General features: G+C 52.3%; 1 protein-coding gene across 3 annotated transcripts in view, besides 1 other annotated feature; it reads left to right on the top strand.

Moving 5' to 3' along the window:
• The window catches only part of VIPR2 (vasoactive intestinal peptide receptor 2), a 116693-nt gene that overhangs the window by 27309 nt on the left and 71122 nt on the right, over window positions 1-18262 (top strand). For all 3 annotated transcript variants that reach the window (NR_130758.2, NM_001304522.2, NM_003382.5), the window contains exons 3-4: window positions 7640-7747; window positions 13705-13802. Coding sequence is in view for 2 of the 3 variants with exons in the window: in NM_001304522.2 (NP_001291451.1) it covers window positions 7640-7747; window positions 13705-13802 (206 nt within the window). In the remaining variant the exon portion in view is untranslated. The remainder of the gene's footprint in view (window positions 1-7639; window positions 7748-13704; window positions 13803-18262) is intronic.
• Window positions 4136-4811: an enhancer, noted in NCBI's record as "H3K27ac-H3K4me1 hESC enhancer chr7:158905439-158906114 (GRCh37/hg19 assembly coordinates)". NCBI's record gives its function as "activates a minimal SCP1, AML or CMV promoter by ChIP-STARR-seq in naive H9 embryonic stem cells {active_cell/tissue: H9 hESC(naive)}" and the evidence as "EXISTENCE:reporter gene assay evidence [ECO:0000049][PMID:30033119]".

Raw genomic sequence — 18262 nt, 5'->3', positions numbered from 1 at the left:
GCATGGTGCAGGTGACAACTGGAGTTGCACCCATCTGTGTCCATGACTCAGGTCAGCAGGTGCAGCCCCACCTCTGAGATGACGTCCTGCATTGCCTTTGTGTGGTGCGGCACTATGTTTCATGTGCTCACTGTTATCCTGTCTGTTCACAGGCCATACAAAGGGATTCATCCTCATTCACGCCGGAGGTTTAAAGAGGATCCTGGACCCACATACCTACCCATTGGCTCCATGACCAGTGCTTTTATAATTACAAAATCATTGAGAAATTAAGTCACAGGAAGCCTCGTGTGTGGTATACACTGGTGATAAAGCAAGTCCCATGCAGTCTGAGATGGCAAGGGACCTTCTAGGGAAAGGGCAGTGACCCAGAAGCCCGACTGCTCGGCTGGCTCCCGCACTCCGTCCTGTGGTCAGAGTGTGTTTCCTCCCCTCTGTGAACCTGGTCTCCTCCCCAGTGTGAGGACAGGGGCTCTCGCCTTCTTCAGGGAGTTGCTGGGAGGACAAAATGGAGTATATGTAAAAGTCATTTCCTAGATAAGGGGGAGCATGTCGTAAGAGTCTCTTGAAATTTAATTGATGTTTATGTCATTGACATTGAAATAATGAGAAAATAAATCCAAATCCAGAGCTCAAAGTAACACCTATAACGTCATCTGTAAGAGCCAGGACTTCCTAGGGAGTCTCTGGACAGAAGGCAGCGTCTTTTATACGGTAGGATTGCAGGTTCCTGTAGGTTCCTCCCCACTCTGTGCGCACTCCCCTTTGGCTGGAAGGTGTCACATAATTGAGTTACTGCTGTGTTCCTCAGAATTCCACCTGGAGGAATTCCCAGCATACCGGTAAGAACTTGTTCAAGCAGCAGCCTTTCCCAAACCCTGTGTATTCCGTTGAAAATGCTGTGAAGCCTCAGAAATGTCGGAAGGCTGCACCATCACAGGGTCCGTTTTTCTGAACGACTTAGTCTACAGTGTCTTTTTCAGGAGACTAAGCTGATTTTCAAGCAAAAATTAGGAAGCCACCACTGCCAGTCTACATTGAAAAGTCACTCATTGCCTGGAAGCTTCCAGCCCCCTGACCAGCCCCTGTGACTGACCACCGGTCACTGCCCACTCTGCCCACTTGCTTTCCCAAATGCACTGACCATGCGGGCACTGACCATGCCGGTGCCAACCCACTGCAGTGCCCTCTGGAGGGCCCATGTGACTCTGCTCTGCCAGCTGTTTGCTTCCCAGGAAGATTTGCTCCTGGTTATGTGTGGCTATGGCACAAATCTCCTGAAACTTGGCTTCAAAATTAGTAGTTGGCTCCTCCCAAGGCTCTGAGGTTGGCCCAAAAGGTTCTGCCCACGTCACCCAAGCTGTTCCTTTCCTACATTCAGCAGGTGCCTAAGCCTTCTCCCTGCAGCCTTTCCGACCAGGGCTCCCACCAACTGCTCCAGCCCTTCCGTGATGACCACCTTCCAGAAGGAAGAGCCTGTCAGTCCGAGGGGTCAGCACAGGTCACGGGGCCACATAGCAGGGTGGGGACAAGACCCCATGTCCAATGGGTGGAGCTCACAGCAGCCCTGGGAGACCTTGCTGTTCACAAACAAATCGATGCCTCACACCTGCTGCCTGACTACTTAGCTAAACGCAGCCTAAGCTGGTATATGAAAGGAAGCACGTGGCCCCAGGAAGCTGACTTGAGTGCTTAGGAAAGACTAGAAGCAGCAACGGAATCGGAGGTGAGAAGGGCAGCTAGAGGGCGTGGGGCAGCTCGGACACCAGCTTTGCCAGCCTGAGTTCCTCCATTCCCAGCACCCTGACCTTGGAGGCTGCAGGCAGCACGTCAGGGGCGTGATCTGAAAAGGCCAAGGGACGACCCAGCCAGCAAGCCTGAGCTCAGGGGCTTTGGTGACACATTCTAAGCACTAGTGGTGACACACCTTGCTGTGTTCTAATTAAGGTGAGACGTCCAAAGCAGACAGATTGAAGTCCTGTTTCAGCCAGGCTTGCCTGCCAAGCCCTGACCATGACTTTGGGTGAGAGGCTGCTGAGATCAGAGGAGGCTCCTTCTCTACCCCTCTGCCAAGTTTTGAAAGAGGAAGATTGGGGTGATAAGTGAAACAACTTTATCATTTATATTGATTCAAAGGTATTTTGGATTATTTACATGGGACATTTTAGCCGAAGAACAATGACCCAGAGAAGCGGCTCCTCTGAGCTTCTGCCTCGGTGTGCGAGCCAAAGGGTTTCATTGCTCTTTTCTCTCTCTTTTTGCTTCTTGATTTGTGAGACAGGTTTGCTGGGTTTATGTTGCATTTGTCTAACTCTGACCCTAGACAGTGCTGTCGAGTAGAATTTCCCATGGTAGTGGAAATGCTGGTGTGATGGCTACCAGCCAAGTTCCACTGCGGAGCATTCAAATGCGGCGGCTGCAACTGAGGAACCAAACCTTTAACTGCATCTCCTTTTAATTAGCTTTCATTTAAATGGCCATGTGAGGCTAGTGGTTGCCATATAGAAAGTACAGTTCTAGGGTTTTTTCTCTACTTTTTACCAATTTATACCTCTTAGTTCTTCTTTCATCTGCTGTTTTAGCTGCAACTTATGACACATTGTTGAATAATAATGAATTGCAGGTACCCAACCTGGCTCCTCAGTTGTACAATTCTGTTTAAACATGTCTAATACTTGCTCTTTCTCTTTTTCTTCCCTCCCCGCTCCCTCCCTCCCTCCCTTCTTCCTTCCTTTCTCTCTCCCTCTCTCTCTTTCTATTCTTTCTTTCCTCTTTTTTTTCTTTGAGACAGGGCCTCACTCAGTCACCCGGGCTTGACTCAAGCTCCTGGGCTCAAGCAATCCTCCTACCTCAGCCTCCTGGGTGGCTGGGACTGCAGGTACTTACCACAGTGCCTGGCTTAATGCTTGCTATTTTTAACAAATATTCTCTGTGATGTTAAGGGAGTCTCATTATTTTACTATTTTATTTAGGGTTTTAAAAAATTAGAAATGGCCACTGAATTTTACCAAGTAACTTTTCAGAGTCTATTGATACATTTTCCACTTTTCAGAGCGACCTTTGATTTTATGATCACCATCTGGAAAACCTAGGTTGCCACCAGAGCTTAACAAGTCCCATTTCCCTGACTGCCTTATCCGAGCACTTTTGTTTGTTTCTCACTCCATCTGCAAATCCTTTGTTTCATGAAATCTCAGCTGCCCACTGCTTTCCAAACAGACAGGCGTCTCCAAGTGGCTGTGCTTCTCTCGGGGGTGGCCCTGCCTGCCTCCCCTTCTCCTCCCATGCCGTCCTGTGCCTCGGCGCACACTCCTACAGAAGGACTTGCTGCCTCTCCCAAATTCGCTGCCTCTCCCAAAGGGTTCACTGTGCCAAATTTGAATCACTTATGTCCAACACTGAACTGATGACCTATTCATGCACTATTTTGCTTTGGCCTGCACAATGTTCCTTAAAAATGTAAACATTTAAAAATGGGTATCTTAATATAATGATACACTTTAAATGCTAGTTTTCAACAGAGTGCATTTATAAAATTGTAAAAGGCAAATGATACTACAAGGCTGTATGAAGATAATAGTCTCCGGCCCCTCGTCATCCCCAGTTCTCAGCCCTATGGCAGCATCTCTTTCATCTCTTCTCTGGTATTTATTTTATTTCTAAACAGCATACTTATGCTCCTGTTTCTTTTCTTTCTTCCTCCCAATTTACATCCCAGTGTCCATTAGATTTCTAACAAGAATAAAGATCTATCTCTCCTGTGCCATTCCCACCACCCAAGTATAATTTATCATCCTGCCAGCCTCCTGATAGACTCACTTCACATTGCTGGTGTACATCATTGCCATCACAGTTGAGCCACATAATATCCAGCATTTCCTTTCTTCATAACTTTATGCTTTTCCTCGTTTTTCTGTTGCTGGGTTTTTCACCTACCTCTCAATAATTAGGCATCAAACCTCAGGCCAGAACACTCTCAAGACACTGCACTGAGGTGGTCTCAGGGTTCCATTTTTTCTCTTGTAGCAGGACGAGCTGCAGACAAAACCCCTCAGACACCGAGATGGTGAAGGGAGTGGCTTTAATCAGCTGGAAGCATTGGCAGACTAGCGTCTTAAAATCCGAGCTTGTCAGGTGCACAATTTTTGTCCCTTTTAAGGGCTCACAACGCTAAGGGTTTCACATGAAAGGGTCATGATTGATTGAGCAAGCCAGGGGGTATGTGACAGGGGCTGCATGCACGGGTGGTCAGAGTGAAACAGAACAGACCGGGAAGTTTCACAGTGTCTTTCTATACAATGTCTGCAATCTATAGATAACATCAGTTGCTAGGTCAGGGGTCAAATTTTAACTACCAGGCTTAGGTCAGGCAGGTCCAGGCCTGGTGTCGGGTCTGGTTCCTAGGCGCTGGGCTACCTGCCTTTAGTTTCGCTTCTGTTTCCTTTTCTGAGTATAAAACAATCTAAAACAATGTGAGAGGGTCTGTCTCTCTTCTCTCACTCCTAGAGCCACTCCTTCTGGATTCCCCCTCCTTGCCAAGTCGGGATCCTTGAGCTGGGGTCTGGCCCCAGGCAGGCATTGTGAGCCTCCTGCTCACACAGTCGGGGTCCTCGGTTGGGGATCTGGCCCCAGGAAGGCGCCATGAGCCTCCTCCTCACGGTCAGGATCCGGTCCCAAGTAGGTCCCGTGAGTCTCCTCCTCACAGTCAGGGTCGGTCCCAGGTAGGCGCCGTGAGCCTCCTCTTCACAGTCGGGGCTCTCAGCCGGGTCCCGTCCCAGGCAGGCGCCATGAGCCTCCTTCTCACAGTCAGGGTCGGTCCCAGGTAGGCGCCGTGAGTCTCCTCCTCACAGTCAGGGTCGGTCCCAGGTAGGCGCCGTGAGCCGCCTCCTCACAGTCGGGGCTCTCGGCCGGGTCCCGTCGGTTCCCTGCAGCGTCCTCCACCCTTGCCGGTGCCGGGGGTACCGATGGCCTGTCTCTCGCTTCTCCCCCTCCTCTGCCTGCCTATTTAACACAGTTGCTTCTGTCTGCAAGGCTGTAGTGACATCTCTTGGTGCTGCCCTTTCAAATTTTTGGCTGTCCTTTGCGTGAGGTTGAGAAGCTGAGAGAGAAACTCCTGTGTTCCCGCCTGGCAGCTGTTGCCAGGAGGTTGCAGCCAGTGCCACGTGTGCGACCGGCACTGTGGCAGCGCTTCCGGCTGCGCCTTCGGCTGCACTTCCGGCTGCTACCTCAGCCTCGGCGCCCTGACGCCCTCGAGTCCGCTTCCTCACATCCTGACAGCGTCTAGCTCTGCTCCCTCACGTGCGGTCCAATAAAGGAACAAATGAAGAGAAGACTTTCCCTGGCCATTGAAGGGATCAGATGATTAGCTCTAGATGTTTAAATCAAATCCTACTGTAATGCAAAGACTGTTTGATGTGGTATGAATTTAGTATCTCTGTTGAAATTTAAAGCAGCAATTAGTATTATACAGTATATAATTATTGCATTATAATTTGTATTATGTATTAGTTATCTTACTATACATTATCTTATTTATTGTTTATTTATTGAGACGAGGTCTCGCTCTGTCGCCCGGGCTGGAGTGCGGTGCCATGATCTTTACTAACTGCAACCTCGACCTCCCAGGCTCAAGTGATCCTCCCACCTCAGCCTCCCTAGTAGCTGGGACTATAGGCATGCTCTGTTACCTCCAGCGAATTTTTAAATATTTTCTGTAGAGATGGGGTCTCGCTATGTTGCCCACGCTGGTCTTGAAGTCTTGGGCTCAAGGGATTATCCCGCCTCAGCCTGCCAAAGTGTTGAGATTACAAACATGAGTCACTACACCCAGCCCATTATTTTAAAATAACAATATTATATAATTATTGCTTTTTTTTTTTGAGACGGAATCTTGCTCTGTCACCCAGGCTGGAATGCAGTGATGCGATCTCGGCTCACTGCAACCTCCACCTTCTGGGTTCAAGCAATTCTCCTCCCTTAGCCTCCTGAGTAGCTGGGATTACAGGTGTGTACCACCACACCCGGCTAATTTTTGTATTTTTAGTAGAGACGGGGTTTCACCATGTTGGCCAGGCTGTTCTCACACTCCTGACCTCAAATGATCCACCAACCTCATCCTCCCAAAGCGCTGGGATTACAGGTGTGAGCCACCACACCCAGCCATTACTATTATCAAGGTAGAAATTTGTCATTTTGTGATAAAAAGCTGAACCTTCAAAATAACCAGACACGAAACTGCCAGAGCTTGCTGTTTTATAGGAGATGGACAGAACTTTGCTGATCACATGCAGAGTCTTCACTTGGAGGCCTAGACATCTTCACTTTCCTCTCCATCTTGTTCACTCTTGGCTAGGAACCCCATCCTGACACCTCTCCACCACCTGCCCTACACACCAGAGTTAGAAGTGCTTGGTTTACGAACTTAGCATTTAAATAACTCTACTACTTAGACTCTAAGCAGCCTTACACGGGGGCTCACGCCTGGAGTTTCTAGTGATGCATTTACATTTGATCACTTGTTTTGAACATTTTAAAAGAAAACCAACATTTTCTTTAAATATGTTAACATTAATGTAATATGAATTTATGTACTTATTCAAGTATTGGTATGTAATTTTATTTTATAATAAATATATTTTCACTTTTATTGAAAGTATTTAGAAACTATTTTCATCTGCAAAACTTAGCTTATGGCCAGCTTTTCAGAGACATTTCTGTATTCTTGAAAGTAAAACACTCCTTTGTTCACACCAAAGCTGTGTGTTCTCTATGGATGTATTCCTGCAATTATTGCACAGGTCTGGGTGGCATGTGCTGAAAGGAAAACTGATTGTTTGTTTGTTTGTTTGTTTGTTTGTTTGTTTTACCGACCAAGGCTAGCACATTGCTTTTCTGATACTGAGGTTTAAGTAAAAGGTAAAATTTTAGAGGTCTCAAATATAGTATAAATACCATGGACAAGTAGGAAAGTCCTGGGTTTAACATGCATTCCATCACTGTTGTGTGATATTGAGAATTCATTAAAAGATTTGAACCTTAGTGCTTTTCATCTGGAAGATAATTAATGCAACATTTTTATATCTAACCTTCACCAGGTGGTTATTAAGACCAAATAGTAGGTCTAAAAATGTTTAAGCTATGCATTATGCAAATTATTTGACAACTCCATGAAGGTAACCTAAGATTTTGTTGCTAATAAGGCATCTTGACAGTGAAAAATCAAACAAATATTATCAAATACTTTTATTTGCAAATAATCATTGAAGTCAGATTCCACAGAAGCACAAGCACACTTTCCCTGGGCGTCTCCCTCCCCGACGGGGCCTTACACTAATACCCAGTGGTGCCCATTTCATCACACTAGGAAATGCTGATCACAAGAAGTAAGTAATGATTCTCTTAAAATTCAGAAGGTACATGGTATACATTGAAGTACTCAAATGCTTTCTACCACCATATGGTTATTCCTCCAAAGCTAATTGAGATGAACCCACAAGCTAACTATAGTCTCAATAATTGTGTTGGTGCAAGTGTGTTTCACAGGAAAGGAGTTTGCGAGGCAGTTATCTCATTAATGGGGTTTCTATTTGTGACACTTCTGTCACCTTGCACCTGCCTCACTCTGCTTCTCTCCTTCCAGCCTGCAGTGGCGTCTGGGACAACATCACGTGCTGGCGGCCTGCCAATGTGGGAGAGACCGTCACGGTGCCCTGCCCAAAAGTCTTCAGCAATTTTTACAGCAAAGCAGGTACTGTCCGTCGGTTGAGTTCCTGAGCTCCTCCAGGGTGTTTGCATCTGAGCGTCCATTTTTTCCATCCAAGAAGCAGGAACATCACTTTCCTTCAGGCATCTCCTGCTACCCTGGGGGTCAGGGAACAGCTGTGGCATATTGGGGTGAGTGCCCGTCTTAGGGAGCAGAAGGGCATCACCTGCCTTCAGCCAAACCCCAGAGAGCAGGGCAACTACAGGGAAAGAACCAGGGGAGACAGGAGCCAAATGGGAACCAAAGCACGGGAAACGTGCATGAGAGGGGAGGGGAGGCAAGGGGGCCCTAAAGGAGGCTCCCCTCCTCCCACTGAGTCGGCCTGTGAGCCCCAGAGAGCACACTCTGGAAGTTTCTGGGAAGTGGGAAGTGTGGCACCCAGAGCCTCCATGCTCAGGGCAGAGGCCCCAGGACACACCTAGTTTATCGAACCCACTCCCCCAACCTCCCTGCCGCCTCACAGGTTTGATGCTGCCTGGAATTTGCAGTTTCTCTGGGCTTCCAGGCTCCTCCTCTGCACCCAGGGCATGCTCCGTATGCGGTGCTGCCAATATCTCTTGGCTGAATCCTGAGAGAAAGGTTTTGTTTGTTTTTGTGAGTGATTCAGATTTTCATAGTGTGAAGAAATCTATTCAGAAAAATAGAAAACATAGGAAACATCTGGAAACAGAAAGCATAATACTTTGGAGCACTATGGAGAATTTACTTTTATCTTGGACAGAGGTTAAAGGGTAAAGACTTTGGGAAGTAATAATGCTGTAGTGTTTTAAAGCAGAGTTTTGGAAAAGAGATTGGGACAGAGGAGAAGGAGATTCCGAAAGGAAGATTTTGACTTTCTCACCCCGAGTTGCCAGCAAAGCAGCCTGAAGGTAGGGACCATGCTTGCATTACCATCACTGCCCACCCCTGAGTTAGAACCTAAGTCACTTTAGAGAACCTGAACTTTAAGAACTGTTCCCTCCAATCAGTAGCATTTCTACTGAGCAGCTTGGGCTGCATCCATTCTCCTGGAGATCTGGAGGGAATTGGCATGGACTCTGGCTTTTCCTAGTCGATGGCATGGTTCTGAGGCTTCCAGAAAGCACCCAGCAGCCTGGTAGTTTGCACATTAGCAAGCACCAGAATCCAGTCCAGCCTCTGCCAGACAGAAGCCATCTGGGCACCAGGCGCCCAGGTCAGTGAGGCTCTGGCCCTGCCTGGAAGCATCCTGCTGCTGCCTGTGAGAATGAAAACTCCCAGTTGGCTTTGGGTTAAATGCTTATTCCACCTTTTTCCCAAGCAGGGAGCATGACACCACCTTGTTATTGTGAGGAAACTTGTGGTGTTTCCCCAAGTCTGGGCACTTGAGTAGTCGCAGCTAGATGATCTGAAATGCAGGGGAAATATGCTTCTGCTTTTTCAACTGATCACAAAAACGTGAGCTATGCGAGGACATGCACAAACTGTGGACAGATGGTCCCCATGGAATGTCCGCATGGAATTCATCTTTGGGGCATTAAATGGGCATCCTTTGCAAATACTTAGAGAGATGTGGATGCGACTGGGGGCCGAGCAGGGCTGGGGTGAAGCCACCTGGCATCGTACCACAGAAGCTGAGGCTTCAGAGACTAAATTTGGTGGGATAACTGTAGAGTCTTAGAAAGAAATGAAAGTCAGGCTTGCGTCTGCATGGTGCTCTGTGGTCTACAGAACACTCTACACATGTGATGGCTGCTCCTCCCATGACCTGTAAGGAGAGCTGGGTCATAGAACACACGTGGAATCATTTCTGCCCACAAACCCAGGTGTTCCAGAAATAAGTCACCATTCTAATGAAACATTGTGTTCTCTTTTGATTTCTCATCCTTCCAGCAGGTGGGAGGTTTGGGGGCTGTCTGTCCTATGCTAGGCAGGTGGCCTCTGGGCATCATCACGTGTGTCCGGCACTGTGCATCATCACAGTGACCAGCACACTGGCGCCCTGTGTCTCTGTGCCAGGCGGGACCCTGGGCCCTGTCCAGAAGCAGTGGGCAGCTCCTTCTCCAGGTCCTAACCCCTGCCCTGCAGCAGCTCCAGAAGCAGTGGGCAGCTCCTTCCCCGGGTCCTAACCCTGCCCTGCAGCAGTTCCAGAAGCAGCGGGCAGCTCCTTCAGGTCCTAACCCTGCCCTGCAGCGGTTCCAGAAGCAGCGGGCAGCTCCTTCCCCAGGTCCTAACCCTGCCCTGCAGCAGTGGGACCCGGGATGCAAGTCCTCTTCCCACCCGGGCTGGACTTCACCACTGCTGCTTGGGGAAAGCTGTGAGGATTAGGTGCTTCAGACATTTCCTGCCCCCATCCCCTCCAGGAGGCAATGAGCCAACTGTCTGCATAGAGGGGAACAAAGGAAGCAGGGAGCCAGGGTGAGAGGCACGAGGACTCATCACTGGGAGGACAGCCTTCTGTGAGCAGCTGCTGTTCATGCCCCATGCTCAGGGGCCAGGAGGCAGCTCCGACAGCTGTGTGCTGACCTTTCTCCCTTGACTTGCTTTCTGTGTTTCCAGTTGCTCCTGGTGCCCACCTGCCAATTCTGCATGGCACTGTTTTAGCCAGACCCAGGGCAGCAGCTCAGCCGCCCATCCAGCACAGGTGTAGGGCCAGGTGTGGTTCTGATCCTTTAAAGGGGCATCAGCACATCCCCCAGTGGAGGATGATGTAGGCTCATGGGGCTTGGAATAGTCGCTGAGAAGCACTGAAGCCCTAAGGGAGGCCTTCAAGTATTCGTCATCCTGCAAGTGGGCGAGAGTGTGCTCCCACCCCCCACAACCTTTCTCTGCACCTCCCTGGCCTCTCTGCCCCTGGATGGCCTCTCTCTGCACCTCCCTGGCCTCTCTCTGTACCTCCCTGATCTCTCTGCACCTCCCTGGCCTCTTTCTGCACCTCCCTGGCCTCTTTCTGCACCTCCCTGATCTCTCTGCCCCTCCCTGGCCTCTGTGTGCCTCCCTGGCCTCTCTCTGCATCTCCCCGGCCTCTCTCTGTACCTCCCCGGCCTCTCTCTCTACCTCCCCGGCCTCTCTGCCCCTACCCAGCCTCTCTCTGCCCCTCCCTGGCCTCTCTCTGCCCTTCCCTGGCCTCTCTGCCCCTCCCTGGCCTCTCTGCCCCTCCCTGGCCTCTCTGCCCCTCCCTGGCCTCTCTCTGCCCCTCCCTGGCCTTTCTGCCCCTTCCCGGCCTCTCTCAGCACCTACCTGGCCTCTCTGTGCCCCTCCCTGGCCTCTCTCTGCCCCTCCCTGGCCTCTCTCTGCCCCTCCTTGGCCTCTCTCTGCCCCTCCTTGGCCTCTCTCTGCCCCTCCCCGGCCTCTCTCTGCCCCTTCCTGGCCTCTCTCTGCCCCTCCCTGGCCTCTCTGCCCCTCCCTGGCCTCTCTCTGCCCCTCCCTGGTCTCTCTGTACCTCCCTGATCTCTCTGCAGGTTGCCACCTCAGTCATTTCCTGTCCTTCCACATCTGCCCCATGTGTCTCAGGAGTGAGAAGTCAGAAAGGATAAAGAACCTGTGAGGGAATCTGCACTTCATAGAATGACTTTCTGACTTAGTTTGTGGAGTTTTATTTCAGCATCTTCTTTGGATTGGTAAACACTGATCTCCCGTAGGAAGGAGAAAAGGCTGCACCTCGCAGAGGATGAGTGACAGGCTCAGCTCCCACCGAGGTCCTGGCTTCCAGGCTCAGGATAGGGGCCTGCAGGTGCCCTGCTCAGGTGAGAGCCAGGCTGTCAGGTGTGGCGCTTGGCCCATCGCTCACCAGTGTGACTTTGGGCAAGTGACACGACTTCCTCAGCCTTGGCCGTCTCATCTCTGAGATTAATTGGAGAGCTGCCTCCTGTGGTGTCAGGATTAACTGGGTTGATGCAAGCACAGAGCCCGGCATTCCTGAGGGCTCAGTGAGTCGTAGTGGCCACTACCACATGACTAGTATTATTATAATAACTATTATGAGTGCTGTTCCTGAGTCTGTGATGGGCACATTATTTATCTTTGTGGACCTGTCTCCTTGTCTGCACAATGGGGCCGTGGGACCAGGTCTCTAGGAGGCTTGCCTGCTTTAGGGCTCTGTTTTGCCTCTACCGTGTATGGGGTCTCTGCAGCTAAGAGGCCCCCAGACCCTGCTGGGGCTCCCTGTGTGAGGTGTGGGCCTTGTAGTCAGAGCCCCTGATTGGTGATGGTGTCGGGGTGCCAGTGGGCAGGGCCAGCCCTGAGGCCTTGCTGAGACCAGTCTCCCACCCCACTCCTCCCCAGTACAGCCAGAGCCTGGCCCGGCCCTCTCTCTGCCTCTCATCACTGCAGGACAAGAATCATGCACGCACCCCACTCAAACTACTGAGTCTTCAAAGCCTTGTTTTCCCCTTCTGTAAAATGGGAACAGCAGCGCCCACCAAGTCTGTCTTGCAGGGTTGTCTTGAAATTAAAAAGTCACGGGAGTGAAAATATTTGCTAAATCCAAAGCCCCAGACCCTTCCAGTCACCCAGGCAGGGAGACAGGGGCTCCGCTCTGGCTGTGCCAGGAGTGCATGGAGGGGTCCGGCCTCCTGGGCTCTGCTGTGGGGGTGACCCTAACACCATGCAGCCATGCTCGGGGCAAGGCTGGCACGGCGTTCAGTGCCTGGTTTTATTCTTACGGCTCGGACACCTTCGAGAGCTTTATCACTTACTGTTCTGTGTGGCCATCTGCTAAGGACACACACAAATACAAGGAACATTGAATTTCTGAGCTTACATATGATTTTAGTTCCGTAGGCGCAAAAGATGAGATTGTAAGGGAACAACTGCCTTGGTTTCCTACAATTAAACTGTAATTCCGCCATCCTTTCTTCCAACACCAGTGGCCAAATGGAGCCTGCCCTACTGGGTCACGGTTGGTGATGAGGGCCTGGCCAGGAGGAGGGAAGGTGCTGTCAGGAACTGGGGCAGGCCAGGCACCAGGTCACCGTTGGTGGTGAGGGCCTGGCCAGGAGGAGGGAGGATACTGTCAGGAACTGGGGCAGGCCGGGCACCCGGTCACCATCGGTGGCAAGGGTGCTGGCTGGGAGGAGAGAGGGTGCTGTCAGGAACTGGGTGGGGCACCCAGTCACCGTCGGTGGTGAGGGCCTGGCTGGAAGGAGGGAGGGTGCTGTCAGGAGGAGGGAGGGTGTTGCTGGGAGGAGGGAGGGTGCTGTCGGGAGGAGGGAGAGTGCTGCCAGGAACTGGAGCAGGTGGGGTACCCGGTCACCATCGGTGGTGAGGGCCTGGCTGGGAGGAGGGAGGGCATTGCTGGGAGGAGGGAGGGTGCTGCCAGGAGGAGGTAGGGTGCTGTCAGGAACTGGACTGGGCACCTGGTCACCATCAGTGGCAAGGGTGCTGGCCAGGAGGAGGGAGGGTGCTGTCGGGAACTGGAGCAGGCGGGACACCTGGTCACTGTCGTGCTGTTGGGAACTGGAGCAGTGGGGCATCTGGTCACCGTCAGTGGCGAGGGTGCTGGCCGGGAGGAGGGAGGGTGCTGCCCAGAACTGGAGCAGGCGGGGTACCCGGTCACTGTCGGTGGTGAGGGCCTGGCCGGGAGGAGGGAGGGTGCTGTCAGGAACTGGGGCAGGCTGGGCTCCTGGCTCCAGGATGGCCAGGGCTTGGCTATAAATATCACTTATGGTGGCAGAACCTAAGAGTCTGTTAAGAATTTTCATTCTGCCCCAAAAGAACTACACTTACAGTTGCGGTAATTATGACTTATGACACAGTGCGTTCACTCACATCTCAGGACCCACCGGCCCCGAGAGGTGACCTGCTGTCCAGGTCACATGGACTAGGAGGGCAAGGAAGGTTTTTTGAGTGGCAGTCCTGTCTCCTAGCTGACCCCTGGGTGTGGGAAGCATTTTAATAGAGCACGGGCTCAGCACGGACTAAGGTCCCTTCTAAGGCCAGTTTTCATGGACTTGCAGATAAAATATCTGAACTTCACTTTCCAGGAAACATAAGCAAAAACTGTACGAGTGACGGATGGTCAGAGACGTTCCCAGATTTCGTCGATGCCTGTGGCTACAGCGACCCGGAGGATGAGAGCAAGGTAGGCTCCTGCGTGGTGCTACGGTGGTGAGGTTCCACTTCCTAACACTGCACCAGAAGCCCCCTCCTGCCCTGCAAGAATTATGTAGATTTTTCCCCTAAATAATCCTCTGAGTACCAATGCTACTTTCTGCTTTCCAAGTTAAGCGAAGTCCCTGTTTCCGTTCTGCTGCTGGCACTTGGGATTGTTTGATTGTTCCGTCATTTTGCAGGCAGGGAAAGGCCGGTTTTCTTGACCTGCTGTGTATGTGTCTGGGAGATGGTGAGGAGAACCTGAGAGTGGCCCCGCCTGCCCGAAAGTTACTTTTCAGATGAGTCCTGGAGAGCATGCCCTTTCTGCATTTGGATTTCTTGTCCCATTTAAGATTTTGCCACATTCTGGGGCATTGAGAAGTCAGCGCCATGGTTTCCTGAGCCCTGAGCCTGCAGCAGGAGATGTGATCACAATTAGGGTGTCTTTTCAACTAAGAGACCCAGCTTGTCCTCCGCCAAGAGGTGTCTGGGAGCAGGGGTCCCAGGATGAGTTGGGGACCCCCCAATCCGGGCTGCACAAACTTGCTGCAGTGATCTGGAGCTCTTGGGTGTTATGTCCACTGTGAACCCTTCTGCAGGGCTGTGATCTTTCAGTAATGAGGATGTTTCTCCCGAGTGTGGGATGTGTGGCCTTAAGCTCTGCTCTGGTCCATCCGTGCAAACTTCCCCAGCTCTGCCTCAGACAGCTGCTTCTCCTGAGGGCTCACTCTGTGCTACGTCTGCCTGTGGTTTATCACCAGACAGACCTCCATCCTTGCCGGCAGCCCTGGCAGCACCGTGTGGGTGGCGGGCACCATAGCAACCTGCAGCCAGAGGTGTGTGCAGAGTGTGCTCCCTGCACAGGGCAAGGCAGGAGGCAGGGGATACATTGGAGGCTGCTCTAAGGAGCCCTGGGAAGTATCGCGCTCCCCACATGCAAATGTTCTCCTACAAGCCCACAGCATTCCGGGCAAAACCATCAGCTTGTGGGCCGATCACCTCCTGCCCTGACCCTGCTCCGCCTGCCCCTCCTGGAGGTGTGGCTTCTGCCCTCTGGGCCCCCAGGGGATGGTGGCAATGCTGCCTGGCTGCCTCTTGGGAGAATGAGCCCAACTTTCTTACAGAGGCCTCCTTTGCTCACTTCTCTAAGATTCACAACTCTAAGCCAGTTCTTTCTCCGCCAAATTATTAAACCCTAGGAAAGGAAGTATCTTATACAGTAACCAATATCCCAACGATTGGAAGGTAAAACTCCTGACCCATGGTATATGGGTCATTATCACACTGCTGATAAAGACGTATCTGAGATTGGGTAATTTATAAGAAACAGAGCTTTGATGGACTCACAGTTCCGTGTGGCTGAGGAGGCCTCAAAATCATGGCAGAAGGTGCAAGGCACATCCTACATGGCAGCAGGTGAAAGAGAGAATCAGAGTCAAGCGAAAAGGGAAACCCCTTATCAAACCATCAGATCTCGTGAGACCCATTCACTATCACAGGAACAGTCGGAACCGCCTCATCGGATCTTCTGAGACCCGTTCACTATCACAGGAACAGTTGGAACCGCCTCGTCGGATCTCGTGAGACCCGTTCACTACCACAGGAACAGTCGGGGGAACGGCCTTGTCGGATCTCGTGAGACCAGTTCACTACCACAGGAACGGTCGGGGGAATGGCCTCGTCGGATCTCGTGAGACCCGTTCACTATCACAGGAACAGTCGGAACTGCCTCGTCGGATCTCGTGAGACTCATTCACTACCACAGGAACAGTCGGAACCACCTCGTCGGATCTCGTGAGACTCATTCACTACCACAGGAACAGTTGGAACCGCCTCGTCGGATCTCGTGAGACCCGTTCACTACCACAGGAACAGTGGGAACCGCCTCGTCGGATCTCGTGAGACCCGTTCACTACCACAGGAACGGTCGGGGGAACGGCCTCGTCGGATCTCGTGAGACCCGTTCACTGTCACAGGAACAGTCGGAACCGCCTCGTCGGATCTCGTGAGACTCATTCACTACCACAGGAACAGTCGGAACCGCCTCGTCGGATCTCGTGAGACCCGTTCACTACCACAGGAACAGTCGGGGGAACGGCCTCGTCGGATCTCGTGAGACCCGTTCACTACCACAGGAACGGTCGGAACCGCCTCGTCGGATCTCGTGAGACCCGTTCACTACCACAGGAACAGTCAGGGGAACCGCCTCGTCGGATCTCGTGAGACCCGTTCACTACCACAGGAACGGTCGGGGGAACGGCCTTGTCGGATCTCGTGAGACTCATTCACTACCACAGGAACAGTCGGAACCGCCTCGTCGGATCTCGTGAGACCCGTTCACTACCACAGGAACGGTCGGAACCGCCTCGTCGGATCTCGTGAGACCCGTTCACTACCACAGGAACAGTCAGGGGAACCGCCTCGTCGGATCTCGTGAGACCCGTTCACTATCACAGGAACAGTCGGGGGAACCGCCTCATCGGATCTCGTGAGACCCGTTCACTATCACAGGAACAGTCGGGGGAACGGCCTCGTCGGATCTCGTGAGACCCGTTCACTATCACAGGAACAGTCGGGGGAACGGCCTCGTCGGATCTCATGAGACTCATTCACTACCACAGGAACAGTCGGAACCGCCTCGTCGGATCTCGTGAGACCCGTTCACTACCACAGGAACAGTCGGGGGAACGGCCTTGTCGGATCTCGTGAGACCAGTTCACTACCACGGGAACAGTCAGAACCGCCTCGTCGGATCTCGTGAGACCCGTTCACTATCACAGGAACAGTCGGAACCGCCTCATCGGATCTCGTGAGACCCGTTCACTACCACAGGAACAGTCGGGGGAACGGCCTTGTCGGATCTCGTGAGACCCATTCACTATCACAGGAACAGTCGGGGGAACAGCCTCGTCAGATCTCGTGAGACCCGTTCACTATCACAGGAACAGTTGGGGGAACCGCCTCGTCGGATCTGAGACCCGTTCACTATCACAGGAACAGTCGGAACCGCCTCATCGGATCTCGTGAGACCCGTTCACTACCACAAGAACAGTCAGGGGAACGGCCTGCATGATTCAGTTACCTCCCACTGGGTCCCTCCCACATGTCGGAATTATGGGAGCTACAATTCAATATGAGATTTGGGCGGGGACACAGGAAAACCATATCACGTGGCTAGTGGATAAGGTGGTGCTGGCTGGCATTGGCAGGTGTTACTGTGAACCCACTGTCATTGTGTTCAGCAGATAAGGTGGTGCTGGCTGGCATGGGCAGGTGTTACTGTGAGCCCACTGTCACTGTGTTCAGTGGATAAGGTGGTGCTGGCTGGCATTGGCGGGTGTTACTGTGAACCCACTGTCATTGTGTTCAGTGGATAAGGTGGTGCTGGCTGGCATTGGCAGGTGTTACTGTGAGCCCACTGTCACTGTGTTACTTTAGTTAGGCTTGAAAACAACTCACTGCATGGATGGAGAAGCTGAGGCTTAGGGGAGTGGTGAGGTGTGCTCCCCACTGGTGAGCAGCCACAGCCAGGCCCTGGTAGTCTGATTCCCATGCAGTCTGCTTGTTGCCATCTGGTCGGGACAGCTCCTGGCCCCACCGCCCTCCCTGAGTGGGTTGAAGGCACCTGCAGGAGTCGCCTGGCTGGGGACCACATTGACCTGTGGGCCCGTCTAAGATGCGCTGTCCCCCATGGCATCCAGTGGAGTTGAGAGAAGACTGAGTTGAGTGTTGGGGGCCCAGCTCCAGCACGCATGGCTGTGAGCCCTTGAGGAAGGTCCTCAGGGAGGATCCTGGGGCGCATGGCTGCACCCAGCTCAGCCAGGGAGAGGGGGAACATTGCGGCCTCTGTCATCACACACCATGGCTGACAGCGGCTCTGGTGTGTGAGATCACAGCAGTGATAATACCATCTGCCCCAGGCTTCCATAGGAAAGGGAGCAGCCAGGGGTCTCAGGGGCTTCTGTGGCCTGGGGGGGATTTCAAGGTCCAGGTGGGATCCCCGGTGTGTTGGAGGCACCACCTCTGAGTCTTCATCTTCGTCTGCACCTAGCCGGCAACTGTGCCTGGGAGACATTAGGACAGAGGTGCTGGTGAAGAGCAGAGACCAAGGCCCCCAGCAGCGTCACCCAGAGCCCCGTATGTGCAGGCTCCGTCGTTCATTCTCTCCTTCCTTTATTCAATAAGCATTCCCTGGGAACCTCCTTTCTGAGCCCCAGCCTGGGTTATAAAGAGTGATGTGGATCTGGGAGGCAGTGACAGCCGCCGCCTGCTGTGGCAATGTCAGCCCACAGAGTCATGCCCAAGCTCCTTATCTCCTGTCTCCTCCTGGGCACACCCTGTGAGGCATCCCAGGGACACGTGGCAAGCTCTTCTGGGTCCACTGGTCCTTCATCGAGGCCTGTAAGTAAACCCTGCCTGCGTGAGCATAGTGGCTCTGTGATCCCCTGA

Source organism: Homo sapiens, chromosome 7 (assembly GCF_000001405.40).
Source record: "Homo sapiens chromosome 7, GRCh38.p14 Primary Assembly".
In the NCBI taxonomy this organism is placed as follows: Eukaryota; Metazoa; Chordata; class Mammalia; order Primates; family Hominidae; genus Homo; species Homo sapiens.
Note: the sequence above shows the minus strand (reverse complement) of the source record. Positions and strands in the feature narration are given on the sequence as shown.